The 19994-nt window shown below is 42.5% G+C and overlaps 4 annotated features.

Moving 5' to 3' along the window:
- Positions 7696 to 8047: a transcriptional cis regulatory region, noted in NCBI's record as "candidate enhancer chrX.477 targeted for multiplex CRISPR interference". NCBI's record gives its function as "positively regulates SAT1 gene expression in K562 cells {active_cell/tissue: K562}" and the evidence as "EXISTENCE:mutant phenotype evidence [ECO:0000015][PMID:30612741]".
- Positions 11817 to 11926: an enhancer, noted in NCBI's record as "active region_29501". NCBI's record gives its function as "activates an Ori minimal core promoter by ATAC-STARR-seq in GM12878 lymphoblastoid cells {active_cell/tissue: GM12878}" and the evidence as "EXISTENCE:reporter gene assay evidence [ECO:0000049][PMID:35858748]".
- Positions 11987 to 12176: an enhancer, noted in NCBI's record as "active region_29502". NCBI's record gives its function as "activates an Ori minimal core promoter by ATAC-STARR-seq in GM12878 lymphoblastoid cells {active_cell/tissue: GM12878}" and the evidence as "EXISTENCE:reporter gene assay evidence [ECO:0000049][PMID:35858748]".
- Positions 19319 to 19398: an enhancer, noted in NCBI's record as "active region_29503". NCBI's record gives its function as "activates an Ori minimal core promoter by ATAC-STARR-seq in GM12878 lymphoblastoid cells {active_cell/tissue: GM12878}" and the evidence as "EXISTENCE:reporter gene assay evidence [ECO:0000049][PMID:35858748]".

Raw genomic sequence — 19994 nt, forward strand, 5'->3', positions numbered from 1 at the left:
ATTGGATCACTTACATTTTTCTTGTTGATCCATAAACATCTATATCTCTATCTATCTATCTATCTATCTATCTATCTATCTATCTATCATCTATTTTAAGAGACAAGGTCTCACTATGTTGCCCAGGCTGATCTCGAACTCCTGGGCTCAATCAAAGAGCTGGGATCACAGGTGTGAGCCACCATGCCTGGCCCCTTTATATAGTCTTGATATTAGTCCTTTGTCAGTTATATGTAATTTTATTTATTTAGTTAGTTAGTTTTTGAGTCAGGGCCTTGCTCTGTCGCCCAGGCTGGATGGAGTGCGGTGACGCAATCTTGGCTCACTGCAACATCTACCTCCTGGGCTCAACCACCCCTCCCACCTCAGCCTCCCGAGTAGCTGGGACCACAGGTGCATGCCACTACGCCTGGCTAATTTTTCTATTTTTTTCTTTTTTGGTAGAGATGGGGTTTTGCCGTGTTGCCCCGGCTGGTCTCAGACTCCTGGGCTCAAGTGATCCTCTTGCCTTGGCCTCCCAAAGTGCTGTACAGGTATGAGCCACCACACCTGGCCATACATGTAATTTTAAAATCTCTGTAAATATCTTCTCTTGGTCTGTGGCTTGCCATTTTACTCTATTGTGTCTTTTGATTAACTTAAGTTCATCATTATAACCTGGTAAAATTGGTATCTTTTCCTTATGATTAATGCTTTATGTGTCTTAAGAAATCCTTCCTGATAGTAATGAGGTTATTCTCTGATATTAGTTTTTTAAAGCTCTGTAGTTTGACTTTTCATACTTATGTCTTTATCCTGAAACGGATTCGATGTGGATTATAGTGTGAGTTAAGCATTCACTTTAACGTTTTTCAACTTCAACTTCATACAGTTCAACTCTTTATTGAAAAAATCAATACTTGCCCACTAATTTGCAGAGCCAGCTCCATGATATATAAAATATTCCTGTGTAAGTGGATCTGCTTCTAGGATCTCTGTTTTGTTCCATTTGTCATTTGTCTTTCTCTGTAACTGTGCCCCATAACTTTTTTTGCAGGGGCGGGGGAGGATGGAGTCTCACTCTGTCCCCCAGGCCAGAGTGCAGTGGTGTAATCTCAGCTCACTGCAACCTCCACTTCCCGGGTTCAAGTGATTCTCCTTCCTCAGCCTCCCGAGTAGCTGGGACTACAGGCACGCACCGCCACCCCCAGCTAATTTTTGTGTTTTTAGTAGAGACAGGGTTTTATCATGTTGGCCAGGCTGGTCTCGAACTCCTGGCCTTAAGTGATCTACCCGCCTCAGCCTCCCAAAGTGCTGGGATTACAGGCATGAGCTAGTGCACCTGGCCCCATCATGGCTTTTTAAAACAATCTTTACTGGGATATAATTCACGCACCGTAAAATCCAACCATTTAAGGTATACAATTCAAATTTTAGTATATTCACAGAATTGTCCAACCATCAACATGATCTAAGTTTAGAATATGTCATCACTCTCAAAAGAAATTTCATACCCAGTGCCGGTTGCGGTGGCTCACGCCTGTAATCCCAGCACTTTGGGATGCTGAGGCGGGCAGATCACCTGAGGTCAGGAGTTCGAGACCAGCCTTCCCAACATGGCAAAACCCCTCTCTACTAAAAATACAACAAATTAGCCAGGTATGGTGGTGGGCATCTGTAATCCCAGCTACTCAGGAGGCTGAGGCAGGAGAATCGCTTGAACCTGGGAGGTGGAAGTTGCAGTAAGCTGAGATCACACCATTGCACTCCAGCCTGGGTGAGAAGAGCAAAACACCGTCTCCAAATAAAAAATAATAATAATAAAAAAGAAATTTCATACCCATAAGCAGTCACTTCCCACTCCCCCCATCCTCCTAGCCTCTGACATCCACTAGTTTACCTTTAGTCTCTATAGGTTTGCTATGCTGGTCACTTCATATAAATGGAATCATAAAATATATGCTGTTTTTGACTGGCTTTTTTCACTTAGCACAATGTTTTCAAGTGTCATCCATGTTGTAGCATGTCTCAGTACTTTGTTTCTTTTTAATGGCCAAATAATATTCCATTGTATGGATATACCACATTTTGTTTATCCATTCTTCCATCAGTTGATGGACATTTGAGTTGTCCCACCTTTTGGCTATTATGAATAATGCTGCTGTAAGTATTTGTGTACAAGTTTTTGTGTGTACATGTTTTCACTTCTCTTGGCCATGAACCTAGAGGTGAAGTTGCTGACTCATATAGTACCTTGACTTTTAACATTTTTAGCAATTACCAGACTATTTTCCAAAACAGTTGCATGATTTTACATTCCCATCAGCAGTGTATGAGGGTGGAAGGATCACTTGAGCCTGGGAAATCAAGGCTGCAGTAAGCCGTGACTGCACCACTGCACCACTGCACCCCAGCATGGGCGACAGAGTGAGACCCTGTCTCAAAAAAAGAAAAAAAGGGAGAAATATTTGTTAGGCCTTCACATTGTATCCTGTATGTCTCTTGCACTTTTCAAAACATATTTTCCATGTTTTAGGTCTCTCCATGCTTCATTCTGGATAGTTTCTTTTAACCTGCCTTCTAGTTCAGTAATTTCATTATGGGCTACATATCATCTCTTAACTCTGCTACTCCTTTTTTTTCCCTTCTTAGTCTTGTTTCCTGCACTCAGAACCATTATTTTGAGATTCATCTCTATTGCTGCATATATCAATAGTTTATTCCTTTTAATTGCTGAGTATTATTCCATTGTATGGATACAGCACAATCTGCCCATTCACCTCTTGATAGCCATTTGGATTGTTCACAGTTTGGGGCTATTACATATAAAACTGCCATGAACATTTATATATTTGTGTGGACATATGTTTTCAATTCTTTGGGGTAGGTGGAATGACTAGTTTGTGTGGTAGGTATATATTTAATATTTTAGACATAGCCAAACTTTCCTACATAGTTGTACCATTTTACAATTCCACCAGCAGTGTTAAGAGTTGCAGTTGCTCTACATCCTCGCCAGCACTTGTTATGATCAGTCTTTTAAACATTTTAGCCATTTTAGGGTGTACGTTGTGATATCTCATTGTGTTTCCATTTTACTTTTAAATAATAAAGAGTAAAATTGACCTATTTGGTGTTCAGGTCTGTATTTAGAAGATAACACATAGTAAAATTGATGCTTGTTTTGGTGTAAAGTTCTATGAGTTTTAACACATGCATAGATTTATATAGCCTCTACCACAAACTGGATACGGAATTCCATCATCCCCCAAATCTCCCTTAGGCTGTGTCTTAGTAATTACACCCTCATCCCACCTCTAAGCCCTGGCAAACAGTCATCTGTTCTTCATCACTATAGTTTTCCCTTTCCCAGAATGTCATATCAATGAAATCATACATCTTTGAGGGTGTCTTTCATTCAGCATAGTGTCATTAAGATTCATCTATGTAGTTGCATGTATCAATGGTCTGTTCCTTCTTATTGTTCAGTAGTAGTCCATTATAACGCTATACCACAATTGTTTATTCATTCACCCATTGAAAGGCATTTGGTCACATAAAAAGCTTCTGCACAGCAAAGGAAACAATCAGCAAAGTGAAGAGACAACCCACAGAATGGGAGAAAATATTTGCAAACTACCCATGTGACAAGGGATTAATAGCCAGAATATATAAGGAGCTCAAACAACTATATAGGAAAAAGTCTAATAATCCTATCAAAAAATGGGCAGAAGATTTGAATAGACATTTCTCAAAAGACGACATACAAATGGCAGACAGGCATCTGAAAAGGTGCTCAATATCACTGATCATCAGAGAAATGCAAATAAAAACTACAATGAGATATTACCTCACCTCAGTTAAAATGGCTTATATTCGGCCGGGCGCGGTGGCTCACGCCTGTAATCCCAGCACTTTGGGATGCTGAGGTGGGCGGATCACCTGAGGTCGGAAGTTTGAGACCAGCCTGACCAACATGGAGAAACCCAGTCTCTACTAAAAATACAAAATTAGCCGGGCTTAGTGGCAGGCGCCTGTAGTCCCCGCTACTCAGGAGGCTGAGGCAGGAGAATCACTTGAACCCCAGAGGCGGAGGTTGTGATGAGCCGAGATCGTGCCATTGCACTCCAGCCTGGGCAACAAGAGTGAAACTCCATCTCAAAAAAAAAAAAAAAAAAAGCTTATATTCAAAAGACAGGCAATAACACATGCGGGTGAGGACATGGAGAAAAGGGAACCCTCATACACTGTTGGTGGGAACATAAATTAGTACAACCACTATGGAGAACAGTTTGGAAGTTCCTCAAAAGACCAAAAATAGAGATCCAGCAATGGATCTCTACCATATGATCCAGCAATCCCACTGCTGGGTATATACCCAAAAGAAAGGAAATCCGTACATCAAAGATATATCTGCACTCCCACGTTTGTTGCAGCACTGTTCAGAACAGCTAAGATTTGGAAGTAACCTAAGTGTCCATCAACAGGTGAATGGGTAAAGAAAATGTAGTACATATACACAATGGAGTACTATTCAGCCATAAAAAAGAATGAATTCCTATCATTTGCAGCAACATGGGTGGAACTGGAGATCATAATGTTAAGTGAAATAATCCAGGCACAGAAAGACAAACATTGCATGTTATTTGTAAGATCTAAAAATCAAAACAATTGAACTCATGGACATAGAGAATAGAAGGATGGTTACCAGAGGCTGGGAATGGGAAGTGGGGGGATTGGGAGGAAGGTGGGGATGGTTAATAGGTACAAAAAATAGATAGTTAGAAAGAATGAATAAGACATACTATTTGACTGCACAACAGGGTGACTGTAGTCAACAATAACTTAATGAACATTTTAAAATAATTAAAAGAGTGTAATTGGGTTGTTTGTAACTTAAAGGATAAAGTCTTGAGGGGATGGATGCCCCATTCTCCGTGATGTGCTTATTTCACATTGCATGCCTGTATCAAGACATCTCACGTACCCCACAAATATATACATCTACTGTGTACCCACAAAAATGAAAAATTAAAACATTTTTTTAAAAAAGTAAAAAAAAGAAAGGCATTTGGGTTTCCTTTTTTTTCACAATTATGGTTTGAGCTGCTATAAACATTTACGTAAAGGTTTTTGTGCACATAAGTTTTCATTTATGCAGGGTAAATACATGGAAGTGGGATGGCTGGGTAGTGTGGTAAGTATATATTCAACTTTTTAAGAAACTGTCAAAATATTTCCTAGAGTAGCTGTACCATATGTATTCTAATCAGAAATATATGAGAGTTCCAGTGGTTCTGCATCCTTGTCAGCACTTGGTATTGTCAGTTTTCTTTTCTTTTTTAGCCTTTTTTTTTTTTTTGAAAGAGGGTCTCACTCTGTTGCCCAGGCTGGAGTGCAGTGGCATCCAGCTCACGATGGTCTCTGCCTCCTGGGTTCAAGTGATCCTCCCTGCCTCAGCCTCCCGAGTAGCTGGGTCTACAGGCACGCACCACCATGCTTGGCTAATTTTTTGGTATTTTTTTTAGAGACAGGTTTCGCCATATTGCCCAGGCTGGTCTCGAACTCCTGAGCTCAGATGATCCACCTGCCTTGACCTCCCAAAGTGCTGGGATTACAGGCATGAGCCACCACACCTGGCCTTTTTTAGCCATTTTAATGTGCATTTCCCTAATGACTAATAATGTTGGGCATCTTTTCATATGCTCACTTATCACATATCATTTTTGGTTTAATACATTTTGCTCACTTTTCAATAGGCTTTTTTTTTTTTTACTGTTATGAGTTTATTATCTGGATACAAATCCTTTGTTGGGTATATGATTTGCAAATGTTTTCTTCTAGTTTGTATCTTGCAAAAGTTTTGGCTATTATTAATCTGTTATTAATTCTAGCCAGTATATTTCATCTTGGACATTGTAATTCTCATCTCTTGAAGTTTGATTTGGGTCTTTAAAATAAATCTTCCATGTCTTAACTTTTTGAACATATGAAATACTGTTATAACTCTTAATGTTCCTGTCTACTAATTCTAACATCCGTTCATTTAGGGGTTGGTTTTGATTGATTTATTCCCCACCCACCCCCCTATTTTGGGTTGTATCTTCCTTCTTTCCGTGCATAGTAATTTTTTTTTTTTTTTTGAGACAAGGTTTTGCTCTGTCACCCAGGCTGGAGTGCAGTGGCGTGATCGTGACTCATTGCAGTCTTGACCTCCCAGGCACAAGCGATCCCATCTCAGCCTCCTGAGTAGCTGAGACCACATACATGTGCCATCACACCTGGCTAATTTTTAAAATTTTTGGTAGAGATGAGGTCTCACTATGTTGCCCAGGCTGGTTCTCGAACTCCTGGGCTCAAGCGAGCCTCCCACCCCAGCCTCTCAAAGTGTTGGGATTACAGGCATGAGCCACAGGCGCGTGCCTGACCTGTGCCTAATAATTTTGGATTGGATACCAGACGTTATGAATTTTACCTTGCTGAATGTTTGATAATTTTTATTCCCATAAACATTCTTGAGCTTTATTCTGGGACACAGTTAAATTACTTGGAAACAGTTTGATCCTTTCAGGTCTTGCTTTTAAAATCTGTTAGGCAGGACCAGAATCCTTTAGGATTAATTATTCCCACAACTGACCCAAGACTCTTCTGCGTACTCTACCAAATTCCCTGTGCATTTTGAGGTTTTCCAGTCTCGTTAGTGGAAACAGTCCGTTTCCACTTGGCCCTGTGTAAATTCTCAGCACCATTCCCTCTAATCTCTTCAGCTGGTTCATTCCCTGGCCTTGGGTAGTTTCCAAACATGCTTGGACTGATTAGTACTCTGTTGAATACTCAAGGGGAACCCTCTGCAGATATCTGGAGTTTTCTCTGTCTTTGCAGTTTCCTCCTCTCTGGTACTCATTCCTGCAGATTCTAGCTGCTTTGTCACCCCAGATTCTCAGTTTGTCTCCTCAACTCAGGCTGTTTGTTAGGTTATGCAGGGTTCTCCTTCCCCGCACCGTGACCTGGAAACTCTTTCAAGGCAGTAATGCAGGGCAATTTTAGGGTTTACCTTGTTTCCAAGCTCTCTCCATGACTGTTATTTGTTGCTTTAATGTTCAGTGTCTTGTAACCTATTGTTTCATCCCCCCCCCACCATCTTTTTGGTTGTTTTGGATGGGAGGATAAAGGTAATCTTTTTAGTCGATCTTGGCCAGAATCATCCTAATAGTTTTTCATTGAATGTTTGGTATTGCACATGAAAAATTATAGACATAATTTGATTCCCTGTACAGTGTTTTTTCTTTGTTTTTGAGACAGTGTTGCTCTGTCGCCTAGGTTGGAGTTCAGTGGTGTGATCTCTGCTCACTGCAACCTCTGCCTCCCAGGTTCAAGCAATTATCAGATTATCTCCTGCCTCAGCCTCATCAGTAGCTGGGACTACAGGCACATGCCACCATGCCCGGCTAATTTTTTTTGTTGTTGTTGTTGTTATTTTTAGTAGAGATGGGGTTTCACCATGTTGGCCAGGCTGGTCTCGAACTCCTGACCTCAGATGATCTGCCTGTCTTGGCCTCCCAAAGTGCTGGGATTACAGGTGTGAGCCACCACGCCCTGCCTACGGTGTTATTTTCTTATAGTTTTATTTTAGCTTCTGGCTGTCAGTTGAAAGTGGGCCAGTTCTCCTTAATCTACTCAGGGATTGAGCTGATTTGAATCTGGGAATAAGTCTTTTTGAGGGCTTATTCACTTCTGATTCACCAGTTTTCTAAATATTTGGCCTTTCAGATATTCCAGCTGAAAGCATGGAGTGTTTATGAGGGTCTCTTCCTTGGTGGACTCTAAAGTCTAATTTCCTCCCTATCCCTTTGAGACTGTTGGAAGCACTGCACAGCTCCTCCGTATATATGAGTCATCACTTTCTGCTCAGCTTTTCAGCCTTTCAGCTGTGTGTGTGTGTGTGTGTGTGTGTGTTTTAAATCAGTAGATGACTCGATGGAAAAGCAGCACTGAATGTTGGTCTCATCTTTGTATGTTTCTCATCTATCTTTGCTCTCACGTCCTCATTGTACTAGTTCTGATACCTTCAAATAGATCTTAAACATCTTGTCTAGTTTTTCTGATTGTGCTTAGTGAGAGAGTTGGTATGCAAAAAGTTAGTCTACTTCTGCCTGAAACAGAAAACCTACCTTTCATTTTTTGTTGTTGGTTATTTTACTTCATCAAAGTGTTTGGAATTGGCATTCTATTCTATGGTCATAATTTACAGAGTTGTTTAGTGGTAGTTCTAAATGTATATGGTTACACTGTTCACCACCAGCCTTTTCACCATTGCAGTGCTGTTTTTGAGCTGTTTATTTTGATTCAGGATTTAGTTGGCTGGATTTTATTCACAAAAATTTTTCTCTGGGATCCTCCTTCCCCTGTTCCAACTGGCTTGATTTCTCTCCAGGTTGATTTGTGCAGCTGCTATCCTTGAATTACTTATTATTTTCCTAGTTATATTTACTATTTCTTTAACATTATATCTTTCTCTTTCTAGGCTTACATAGTCACATGCTGGAACACATCCTCTAAATTCCTGAAAAGGGTTTAAGAAGATAAATATTAAGTCCATGCATGTCTCAATACGTCTTTCTTCTGTTCTCACTCTTGACAGTTGCAGCTATATTAGTGCCTTTCTTATTACATTTAGAGGTACTGATGAGAATTCTAAGCATAATCTCATTCCATTTTATTTTGAAGCAGTATGTCTTTTCTCTTTGGTAACTTTATGAATTTTATTCTTTATTCTTGGTGTCCTGATATTTCCCCATGATAGACCCAGATATATTTTTAAAAACTGATCTTCCTTGCATTTGAGCGACTCTTTAAATATGAAAACTGGTGTCTTGTTTTCACCTCTGGGGAATTTTCATCTCATTTCAAAAATGATTTTCTCCCCTCTCTTTTCTTTAGCTTCTCTGGAACTTTCATCAGATCAATGTTGATACATCTGGATCTTTGTTTTCTAACTTTTCTTGGACATTTTTGTCTTTGTCTCTTTTGTTCCCCTTTTGCACTTTTTTTTTTTGAGATGGAGTTTTGCTCTTATTGCCCAGGGTGGAGTGCAATGGCGTGATCTTGGCTCACTGCAACCTCCGCCTCCCAGGTTCAAGTGATTCTCCTGCCTCAGCCTCCCAAGTAGCTGGGATTACAGGCATGTACCACCATGCCTGGCTAATTTTGTATATTTAGTAAAGATGGGGTTTCACTATGTTGGTCAGGTTGGTCTTGAACTCCAAAACTTCAGGTGATCCACCCATCTCGGCCTCCCAAAGTTCTGCAATTACAGGTGTGAGCCACCGTGCCCAGCCTGCACTGTGTTTTTAAAAATCACTCAGAAAAATTTTTTCTCCAGCTAGAGTTTTTTGATATTCAATTTTTAATTTTCTAATCTTTCACTGGTTTGTTTCTTCACAGCCAGTTCTTGTTTTATGAATGTGATCACCTCTTTAATCTTTCTCCAGATATTAATTATAATGGATTTTAAGTCATCTTCTGTTTTCCATATATACCCCTAATAATTTTAATGTAAATCAAGACCATATGTAATCCATTTATTGCAAGGCATCCATCCAAAGAAATCTAGGTCAGCAGCTAAAATTCATGACAAGTAATTTGCAGCATTTTGTTTCTTGAGAAGAGCCAAAGAGGAAATGTATTTTTAATGCCTAACATCTTAAATATTTCTTCTCCCCAAATATACCCTACACCTCTGGCAATAGAGCTCTGAAAATCTCTCCAACTAGCACTTTTCAGCCCTACCCAAGTCCCCTCTAATATCTAGTCCATACAGCTTCTATTTTTTCCCTTTTGCCCATCTTTTTCCAACTTGGAATCTCTGATACCTTCAAATAGATCTTAAACATCTTATCTAGTTTTTTTGAGACAGGGTCTGTCACCAAGGCTGGAGTGTAGTGGCATGATCATGGCTCACTGCAACCTCTGCCTCCTGGGCTCAAGCGATCCTCCCATCTCAGCCTCCCAGGTCACTGGGAATACAGACGTGCACCACCACGCCCGGCTTTTTTTGCCATGTTGCCTAGTCTGGTCTCGAACTCCTGGGCTCAAGTGATCTGCCTGCCTCAGCCTCCCAACCAAAGTGCTGAGACTACAGGCATGAGCCACCGTGCCTGGCCTTATTTCCTTTTTTTTTTTTAATTTCTCCTTGTGGGTTCTCTACAACAAAGGAAACCTAGGAGCTGTAACATGAAGAATTTTCCTCCCTTAGAAAATGAAGATAGTGAGGGAAGATTGTGAATTTTTGTCCCTGTTAGGCTTTTCCCAAGGAAGTATTTGAAAGTCTCTCTAAACAGAATCCTGGTATTTTATGGTAGCACCCAGAGACAACTTTTCTTCCAGTTCAATCTTTATCCTTTTCCTTTTGGGGTGAATTTAATTACTTATTTTTTGAAATCCTGGAGGTCCTGCCAGGTCGAGCTTGACTCAATCATGATTCCTTCTCACAAACTTCAGAGCCAGGGAGTGGCAGACACGCCACAGTTTCTGCCCTACATAATATGAAAAGGAGGATATGCTCACCAAGCGGTTATCTTTGTGTTTGTAGACTGCTGCTGCATGACCTTCTTTCTTTGCGGCTTGAAGCAAACCCAGGACACACAGAGCCTCCCAATGTTTGGAGCTAGCCCTTTAGCTTTCATTTTGCATGTGTCTGGGTTTCCAAAATGCCAGGGTTATGAGTAGCCAAAAACTCAGTGCTACCCAGTTTTTTTTTTTTTTTGAGATGGAGTCTTGCTCTGTTGCCCAGGCTGGAGTGCAGTGGCATGATCTCAGCTTACTGCAACCTCTGCCTCCTGGATTCAAGCAATTCTTCTGCCTCAGCATCCTGAGTAGCTGGGATTACAGGCACGCACCACCACACCTGGCTAACTTTTGTATTTTTAGTAGAGGCAGGGTTTCACCATGTTGGTCAGGCTGGTCTCAAATTCTTATCTCATGATCTGCCCGCCTCGGCCTCCCAAAGTGCTGGGATTACAGGTGTGAGCTACCGCATCCGACCTGTGCTACCCCACTTCTAACTCATTCTGTTCAGCTGAAAGCAAACTAGTGGGTACAGTCTTGTAACTGAACTTTTGGGAGGGGGGCCCTATTCAGGTTTCAGACTTTGCTCATGCAAAGCACTGGCATCTTGCTCATCCTGGGTACATCTTGTATTTGGAATCACTTCTCTCACACAGATCTCCACCAGAATCCTCCATCTGAGCTTTATCATGTGATATGGTTTGGCTGTGTCCCCACCCAAATCTCATCTTGATTTGTAGCTCCCATAATTCCCACGTGTTGTCGGAGGGACATAATTGGAGATAATTGAATCACGGGGGCAGTTTCCCCCATACTGTTCTCATGGTAGTGAATAAGTCTTATGAGATCTGATGGTTTTGTAAGGGGAAACCCCTTTTGCTTGGCTCTCATTTCTCTCGTCTGCTGCCATGTAAGATGTGCCTTTCACCTTCTGCCATGATTGTGGAACTGTGAGTCCATTAAACCTCTTTTTCTTTATAAATTACCCAGTCTCGGGTATGTCTTTATCAGCAGGGGAAAACAGACTAATACATCATGTAAACTTGCTTTTGGAGAACAGATATGGTAACCTTTTCCTCTCCCTCAGATCAGCTACACCAACTATGAGAATTCTGAAGATTATGATGAAGTCCATGATAACTGAATACATCTTGAGTATAAATTAGGATTACAGGCCCTTCATCTACATCAGAGGTTCTTAGCTCTAGCTACATGCTAGACTCACCTGGGATCCTTTCAAAGTTCCTCTTTGCAGGACTCAGGCCAGGCCAATTGAAGGTGAATCTCTTGGGAGGAGGGCAGGCATCAGTATAAAAAGCTCCCCAGATGACTCTGTGCAGCCGAGGTTGAGAGCTGCTGCTCCTGGCGCCTCTGGCCCTTCTAGCCTTGCTGGCTTCTTCCCCAGTAGATGCCTGCTGTGATTGTTGTTCCAATCTGAAGAAACAGAGGTGCCCTTTCTCCTTTCTCACCAACCTGTGCTGATAAATTGGGCCTGTGAATTTCAGTAGTTGTCCATTCTGCTATTCTCTCTAGGGGTATAAAGCAGCCCTCAAAAACCAAAACCAAAACCAAAACCAATTTTGGTGACCTAAGGTTCATGAACAACTCTCACACTGGAGTCACTTAATTGATGTTCACTTCTTGGGGCTTCCACCTGTTTACTATTTCATTGGCACCTCTAATCACAGATCAAGCCTTCTGATCTGGTACCTTAAGAGGTACTTCTTACTAATTTGTTTCTGGTAAGCCTATGTTGTCACAAGCCTCACAGAGGCTACTAAGTCCCAGGGAGCTGATAGCATTGGTGGAGCCCAATAGGACCCTGAGTGAGTGCAGGCATATTGGTCATGGATCCCCTGTCCCCATCCAGAAGCAACTTCAATTTCTTAAGAAACTGGCCATCTTGCAAGGGTGGCTCACAACTGTAATCCCAGCACTTTGGGAGGCCAAGGCAGACGGATCACTTGAGATCAGGATTTTGAGACCAGCCTGGGCAACATAGTGAAACCCTATCTCTACTAAAAATACAAAAATTAGCCAGGTGTGGTGGTACACACCTGTGGTCCACCTAATTGGGAGGCTGAGGTGGGAGGATCACTTGACCCCAGAAAGTCAAGGCTGCAGTGAGCCTGGATCATGCGGCTGTACTCCAGCCTGGGTGACAGAAAGATACTATGACTCAAAAAAATAAAAATAAGGGGCAAGGCGCAGTGGCTCAAGCCTGTAATCCCAGCACTTTGGGAGGCCGAGGTGGGCAGATCACGAGGTCAGGAGATCGAGATCATCCTGGCTAACACGGTGAAACCCCGTCTCTACTAAAAATACAAAAAATTAGCTGGGCATGGTGGCGGGCACCTGTAGTCCCAGCTACTCAGGAGGCTGAGGCAGGAGAATGGTGTGAACCCGGGAGGCGGAGCTTGCAGTGAGCCGAGATCGTGCCACTGCACTCCAGCCTGGGCGACAGAGCGAGACTCCGTCTCAAAAAAAATAAATAAATAAAAATAAATAAATAAGAATAAGACCGGGTGTGGTGTGGCTCACACCTGTAATCTCAGCACTTTGGGAGGCCGAGGAGGGCGAATCACCTTGAGGTCAGGAGTTTGAGACTAGCCTGACCAACATGGTGAAACCCCGTCTATACTAAAAATACAAAAAATAAATTAGCTGGTCATGGTGGCACAAGCCTATAATCCCAGCTACTTGGGAGGCTGAGGAAGGAGAATCGCTTGAACACAGGAGGCAGAGGTTGCAGTGAGCTGAGATCTCACCACTGCACTCCAGCCTTAGTGACAGAGTGAGACTCCATCAAAAAAAACAATAAAAATAAAAAATTTGGTCATTGGTGGAGATTAGGTTTTACTTTTATTTATTTTTTGAGACAGAGTCTCGCTCTGTCGCCCAGGCTGGAGTGCAGTGGTGCGATCTCGGCTCACTGCAAGCTCCACCTCCCGGGTTCACGCCATTCTCCTGCCTCAGCCTCCCGAGTAGCTGGGACTACAGGCGCCCACCACCATGCCCGGCTAATTTTTTGTATTTTTAGTAGAGACGGGGTTTCACCGTGTTAGCCAGGATGGTCTCAATCTCCTGCCCTCATGATCCGCCCACCTCGGCCTCCCAAAGTGCTGGGATTACAGGCGTGAGCCACCGCGCCCAACTGAGATTAGGTGTTAAAAAGACAATGGATTTTCTCGATTTGGTAGACTTACATAATATCACGTATGTTTGGTTTTCTCTCTGGTATATACAATTCAAACAGCATATTCTCACCAGATGTACCACTCTGATACCAGACTTCACAATGTCTCTCTCTTGGGCTATCTGGGGTTAATGTCAGAATTATCATGGCTTGGAGCTGGGCAGCTCCTATTTTTTGACATCATTGTTGGTGAAACATGGTGAAAATGTTTTCTGGTTCAGGTTTAGCATGAAAGGTTTTTTTTTTTTTTTTTTGTTAAAATAAGGCAGGGTCTCACTGTTTCGCCCAGGCTAGAGTGCAGTGGTGAGATCACGGCTAACCACAGCCTTGACCTCCTGGGTTCAAGCAATCTGCCTGCCTCAGCCTCCCAAGTAGCTGGGACTACAGGTGTGCACCACCATGCCCGGCTAATTTTTTATTATTTTGCTTACAGAGGTGGAGTTTCACCATGTTTCCCAGGCTGGTCTCGAACTCCTGGGCTCAAGTGATCCTCCTGCCTCAGCCTCTCAAAGTGTTGGGATTACAGGTGTGAGCCACGACACCCAGCCAGCATGCAACTTTTAATCTGAAGTCCATCTGAATATCAGACCTTAAACCCCAAAGATGGTTTACAGCACTCCAAATATAACCCAGGCCCTATGCCCCTTGCTTTGCTGGAGAAGGGACAGGACAGTCAAGAACTATCCCCTGCATGACCTTTTCCTGTCTTTGTCTTCTACTTGGGAAAAAGCAAAGTATTCTGGGTGATTAGAGAGGTAAAACGTGTAGCATGCCCACACCCTCAGCCAAGGAAACATACGAAGTTGGTTATTTCCTTCATCTTCTGTGCCATATGGAGTCTAAAGATCTTGGAAGGTTGGCCCTTATCCATTCAACTCATCTTATGTACCTGTGTCCGGTCCTTCAGTCAGTAGAGAGTGACCTCCTTGAACCATTTCCTTCCCATCTTTGTCCCTTTCCCCATATTCCTTAGTCTTTTTATCTGTTATCCTCTTTCATCTTCCTGTCTCCTCTTCTGTCATGGACTGTCAGTTACATTGTAGCCCATCCACTTTCCCTCTTGGATAGAGGTGAGGGGGAGAAACCTTTAGGGTCCTGAAGGTGGAAGTCGACAGTGGAAGAGTTCATCGTGATGCCGTGACTTGTGGGTGAAATAGTTATAAAGCAATCAGACATTTCTGTGAAGGAGAACTTCCTGTTGGTGTATATTTTGAACTTAATTATGCTGAAAGAGTTCGTGTCTCCTTCTCAACATTTAATTAGTTTTTTTTTTTTGAGATGGGGTCTCACTATATTAAGCCCAGGCTGTTTCAAACCCCTGGCCTCAAGTAATCCTCCCATCTTGGCCTCCCAAAATGCTGGGATTACAGGTGTGATCAGTTACGTTTTTAAAAAGCCCTCTTATCACCCCTAACTTGGGATGTGGCAGGCTCCTTGAGGTGGAGTGGAAAGAAAAAAAACACACAAAACTATCTCTCCATAAGCTGTTCCTTGTGTTGGTTGAGCTTGGTGCCTGTCTTTCGTGGCAATGGATTTCTTCAGGTGTCCTGTGGTTTTTGTCTGTGTGCTCCTTTTGCTGTGTGAGATCTTCTGCTTTTGCGGCTACGGATGCTGGCTCTGATGGAGAAGCTTGTTTTGAGGATTATGGGGTTGAGTGGAGTGGGGCTGCCTTTGTCACTTGGGGAATGGTGGCCCCGGGGGCAGTTTTAGGCAAAGAGTAAGCACAAGCCCTTAGAGAAAATGGGAGAGAGGAGAGGGGGCGAAGAGGGGGCTGAGCGGGGGCGGAGGTGGGAGGGTAGGGAAAGGGAGAGAAAGAGGGAGAGAAAGAGAGAGAATATTCCACATGTAGTCTTCAAATTAACCACCTGGAAGATTGTCCCATGACCCCTGCACACTCCATCTATTGCTCCCCAATTTTTCCAGTCTCCTTCCTCAGTTTCCTCTTGGGTTTGTTCTCACCTTCTGTTTTTCCTTCAAGAGTTCCTCAAATCTTTTGGTTTATAGTGTTTGGCTTTCTAGTGGTATTATACATAAATAATTAAAAAATTTTTTTCCTGTGATTTCAGTCATTTGGAAGGGATTTAGGTGCATGTGATCCATTTGAAATTTGTATCTAAATGCCAGGAGGCTGCCTTGGAAGGGCGCAAGCTCCCCACCGTGACAGGCTTCTGTGTTTAAGTAGAAGGAAGAAGGAGAATATTTAAGTATGTGACAGGGAATTACTCCACGTTGATGAATTTCAAAAAATGTTCACTGTGACCTGTAAGAAGAAATACATTTTACATAGATGTTCATTCATGATACAGGTAACTGAGACAAGAGTTTCATTAAACAATGTTTACCCTATGTGTAAGGCATCGTGAATTTTTTTTTTTTTTTTTTTTGAGATAGAGTCCCACTCTGTTGCCCAGGCTGGAGTGCAGTGGTACAGTCTCGGCTCACTACAGCCTCTGCCTCCCGGGTTCAAGCGACTCTCTTGCCTCAGCCTCCCGAGTAGCTGGGGACTATAGGCACCTGCCACTACACCAGGCTCATTTTTTTTATTTTTAATAGAGACGGTTTCACCATGTTGGCCAAGCTGGTCTTGAACTCCTGACCTCAGGTGATCCACCTGCCTCGGCCTCCCAAAGTGCTGGGATTAGGGATTACAGTCATGAGCCACCGCGCCCAGTCTGATTTTTTCTGAGTCAGGGTCTCCTCTGTCGCCCAGGCTGGAGTGCAGTTGGATAATTATAGCTCACTGCAGCCTCCGCCTCCCAGGCACAAATGATCCTCCTACCTCAGCCACCTCAGCCTCCTGAGTAGCTGGAATTACAGGTGTACACCATCATGCCTGGCTAATTTTTATATTTTTTTTGTAGAGACAAGGTTTCCCCATGTTGCCCAGGCTGGTCTCGAACTCTTGAGCTCAAGTGACCCACCCGCCTTGGCCTAAGTGCTGGGATTACAAGCATGAGACACTGTGCCTGGCCACATTGTGATTTTTCTATTGTATTTCATGAAGACATTCATTTATCTAAATATGGCACTAAAAGCACAAGAAACAAAAGAAAAAATAGATAAATTGAACTTCATCTAAATTAAAAGCTTGCATGTTTCAGGGGACATTATCAAGAAAGTGAAAAGATGGGGGAAAGTTTTGAAAATCATACATATGATGAGGGTTTAATATCCAAAAAATATAAAGAACTCCTACAACTCAAGTACAAGCAAACGACCCAATTTTTAAATGGGCAAAAGACTTAAATAGACATTTCTCCAAAGAAGACTTAGACATGGACCAAAAGCACATGAAAAGATGCTCAACGTCATTAGTCATTAGGTAAATGCAAATTAAAACCACAATGAGATGTTACTTCATACCCACCAGGATGGTTATTATAAAAAAATGGAAATAACAAGTGTTATGGGGATACAGAGAAATTGGAACCCTTGTATATTGCTGGTAGGAATGTAAAACGTTGCAGCTGCTGTGGAAAACAGTATGGTGGTTTTTAAAAAGTTAAACATAGAATTACCATATGATCCGGCCTGGCTCACACCTGTAATCCCAGCACTTTGGGAGGCCAAGGTGGGCAGATCATTTGAGGTCAGGAGTTCGAGACCAGCCTGGCCAACATGGTGAAACTGCGTCTCTACTAAAAATACAAAAATCAGCCGAGCGTGGCGGTGCATACCTGTAGTCCCAGCTACTTGGGAGGCTGAGGCAGGAGAATCGCTTGAACCCAGGAGGTGGAGATTGCAGTGAGCCGAGATCATGCCACTGCACTCCAGCCTAGGCAACAGAGTGAAGACTGTCTCAAAAAAAAAAAAAAAAAAAATTACCATATGATCCAATACTTCCAATCTGAGGTATATACCCCAAAGAATTGAAAACAGGAACTAAAGTTCTGATACATGTTACAACATGAATGAACCTTGAAAATGTTGTGTTAAATGAAACATACCAGATGTAAAAGGACAAATAATATATTATCCACTTATATGAAACATCTGGAATAGGCAAATTCATAGAGGCAGAAGGATAGAGGTTACCAGGGGCTGGGGAGAGAAAGAATGGGAAACTATTGCCTATGCTACAGTTTTTGCTTGGGATGATGAAAAAGCTCTAGAAATAGATAGTGGTGATATTTAAACAACTTTTTTTTTTTTTTTTTTTTGAGATGAAGTCTTACTCTGTTGCCCAGGCTGGAGTGCAGTGGCGCTATCTCGGCTCACTGCAACCTCTGCCTCCAGGGTTCAAGCGATTCTCCCACCTCAGACTCCTGAGTAGCTGGGATTACAGGCACCCTCCATTGTGCCTGGCTAATTTTTGTAGAGACAGGGTTTCACCATGTTGGCCAGGCTGGTCTTGAACTCCTGACCTCAGGTGATCCACCCGCCTTGGCCTCCCAAAGTGCTGGGATTACAGGCGTGAGCCACCGCATCTGATCTAAACAACATTTTAAATATACATAATGCCACAGAATTGTACACTTAAAGTGATTACAATGATATATTTTAGGATATGTACATTTTACCATTTACCAAGAAATATTGTGATATAAATTTACTTATCAAAATCCACCAAGTTATTTTGATCCACGAATAAGTCACATACAATAGGTAGAAAAGCACTGCTAGATTATCTTTAATAACAACCTAGATATTTTAGCCATATGAAGAAAGGTTTAAAAGTTATGAATTGGTACATTGTGAATGGCGCAGCCACGTTTTTTTGAAGTATATTTTGTTAGGCACAAATGATCACATGTTGAATTTATCAGTTGTGATGCTAACTTAAGGGACCCTTAGTGTAGAATGACTGTTCTCTTAGTAAAACATCCTGGCTTGCGTGCAAAAACCTTACATGTCGTTATAATTTGCCACCATACGTGTCAAAATCTGCAAGAAAATTTGAAAATCATCTAAATCACTTAGAATGGTAACAGAACGGAAATTAATCATAATTTTTTAAAGAACAATTGCATAATACGCAAAAATTCCCTATTAACAAGAATATTTGATTGGCTGCTTAAATCTTTATTACCAGAGTTTGTTGTGTTAGGTGCTATTCTCAAGGGGCTGGGGACCCTTGTTCACAGTGATGGGTGCCACCTACTGGATATACTAATATTTTCTCTGACAACATCAGAAATTCTCTTTCAGGACTCTTTTGGAAGCGAGTATTCCCTCCCTTCCCTTCCCCCTATCCCACTCCCACTAGCCCCATGTTAACACAGCTGGAACGGAACACAGAATTCCCATGAGGCTATGACAGGCAGCTTCTGACCTGGATCCCCTGAGTGTGGGCTACACTAGTGACTTGCTTCTAATGAACAGAATAGGACAAAAATGATGGGATGTCCCATCTGAGATTAGGTTACAAAACACCGTGACCTTTTTTTTTTTTTTTTTTTTTTTGAGACATGGTCGTGCTCTGTCGCTGAGTCTGGAGTGCAGTGGCATGGTCACAGCTCACTGCAGCCTCAACCTCCCGGGCTCAAGCCATCCTCCCTAATAGCTGGGACTATAGGCACATGCCACCACTCCCAGCTCATTTTTGTATTTTTTTGTGAAGACAGGGTTTTGCCATGTTGGCCAGGCTGGTCTCAAACTCTGGTCCTCAAGTGATCCGCCCACCTCGGCTTTCCAAAGTGCTGGGATTACAGGCATGAGCTACCACGCCTGGCCAAGACTGTGGCTTCTGTCTTGATTGCAAACTGTCTCTGATGCCTCTTGCGTGCTTGTTCTGAGGAAGCCAGCTACCATGCTGTCAACCACCCCATGCAGAGGTTCACATGGCCAGGAACTGAGAACAGCTTCTGGCCAACAACCAGCAAGAAACTGACGCCCTCAGGGGAACCAAGGCCCTTAGTCCAACAGCTTGTGAGAAACGGAATCTGGCCAACAACCACGTGAGTGAATTTGCAAACAGATCCTTCCCTTGTGAAACCTTTAGATGAGCCAGTAGCCCCGGTGAACATTCTGATTGCAGCCCTGGGAGAGACCCTGATTCCTGCAGCATAGAAACTGTGAGAAAAGAAATGTGTCGTTTTGAGCCATTACGTTTTAGGATAATTTGTTATGCAGCAGTAGGTAACTAATTCAGGGGCCCAAACTAATTCTGATGGATTTTCAAAAGCTTTAGAAGTTTCCTGTTTGAATTTGGCTTCATAAGCCTCAGTAAAAACTTTCTACTGTGCTTGCTCGTTTAGCCTGTTAGACCTTGTGTTCCCAGGGGAAAACTTTTGGACGCTTCTGGGGCCACTCA

Source organism: Homo sapiens, chromosome X (genome assembly GCF_000001405.40).
Source record: "Homo sapiens chromosome X, GRCh38.p14 Primary Assembly".
Lineage (NCBI taxonomy): Eukaryota > Metazoa > Chordata > Mammalia > Primates > Hominidae > Homo > Homo sapiens.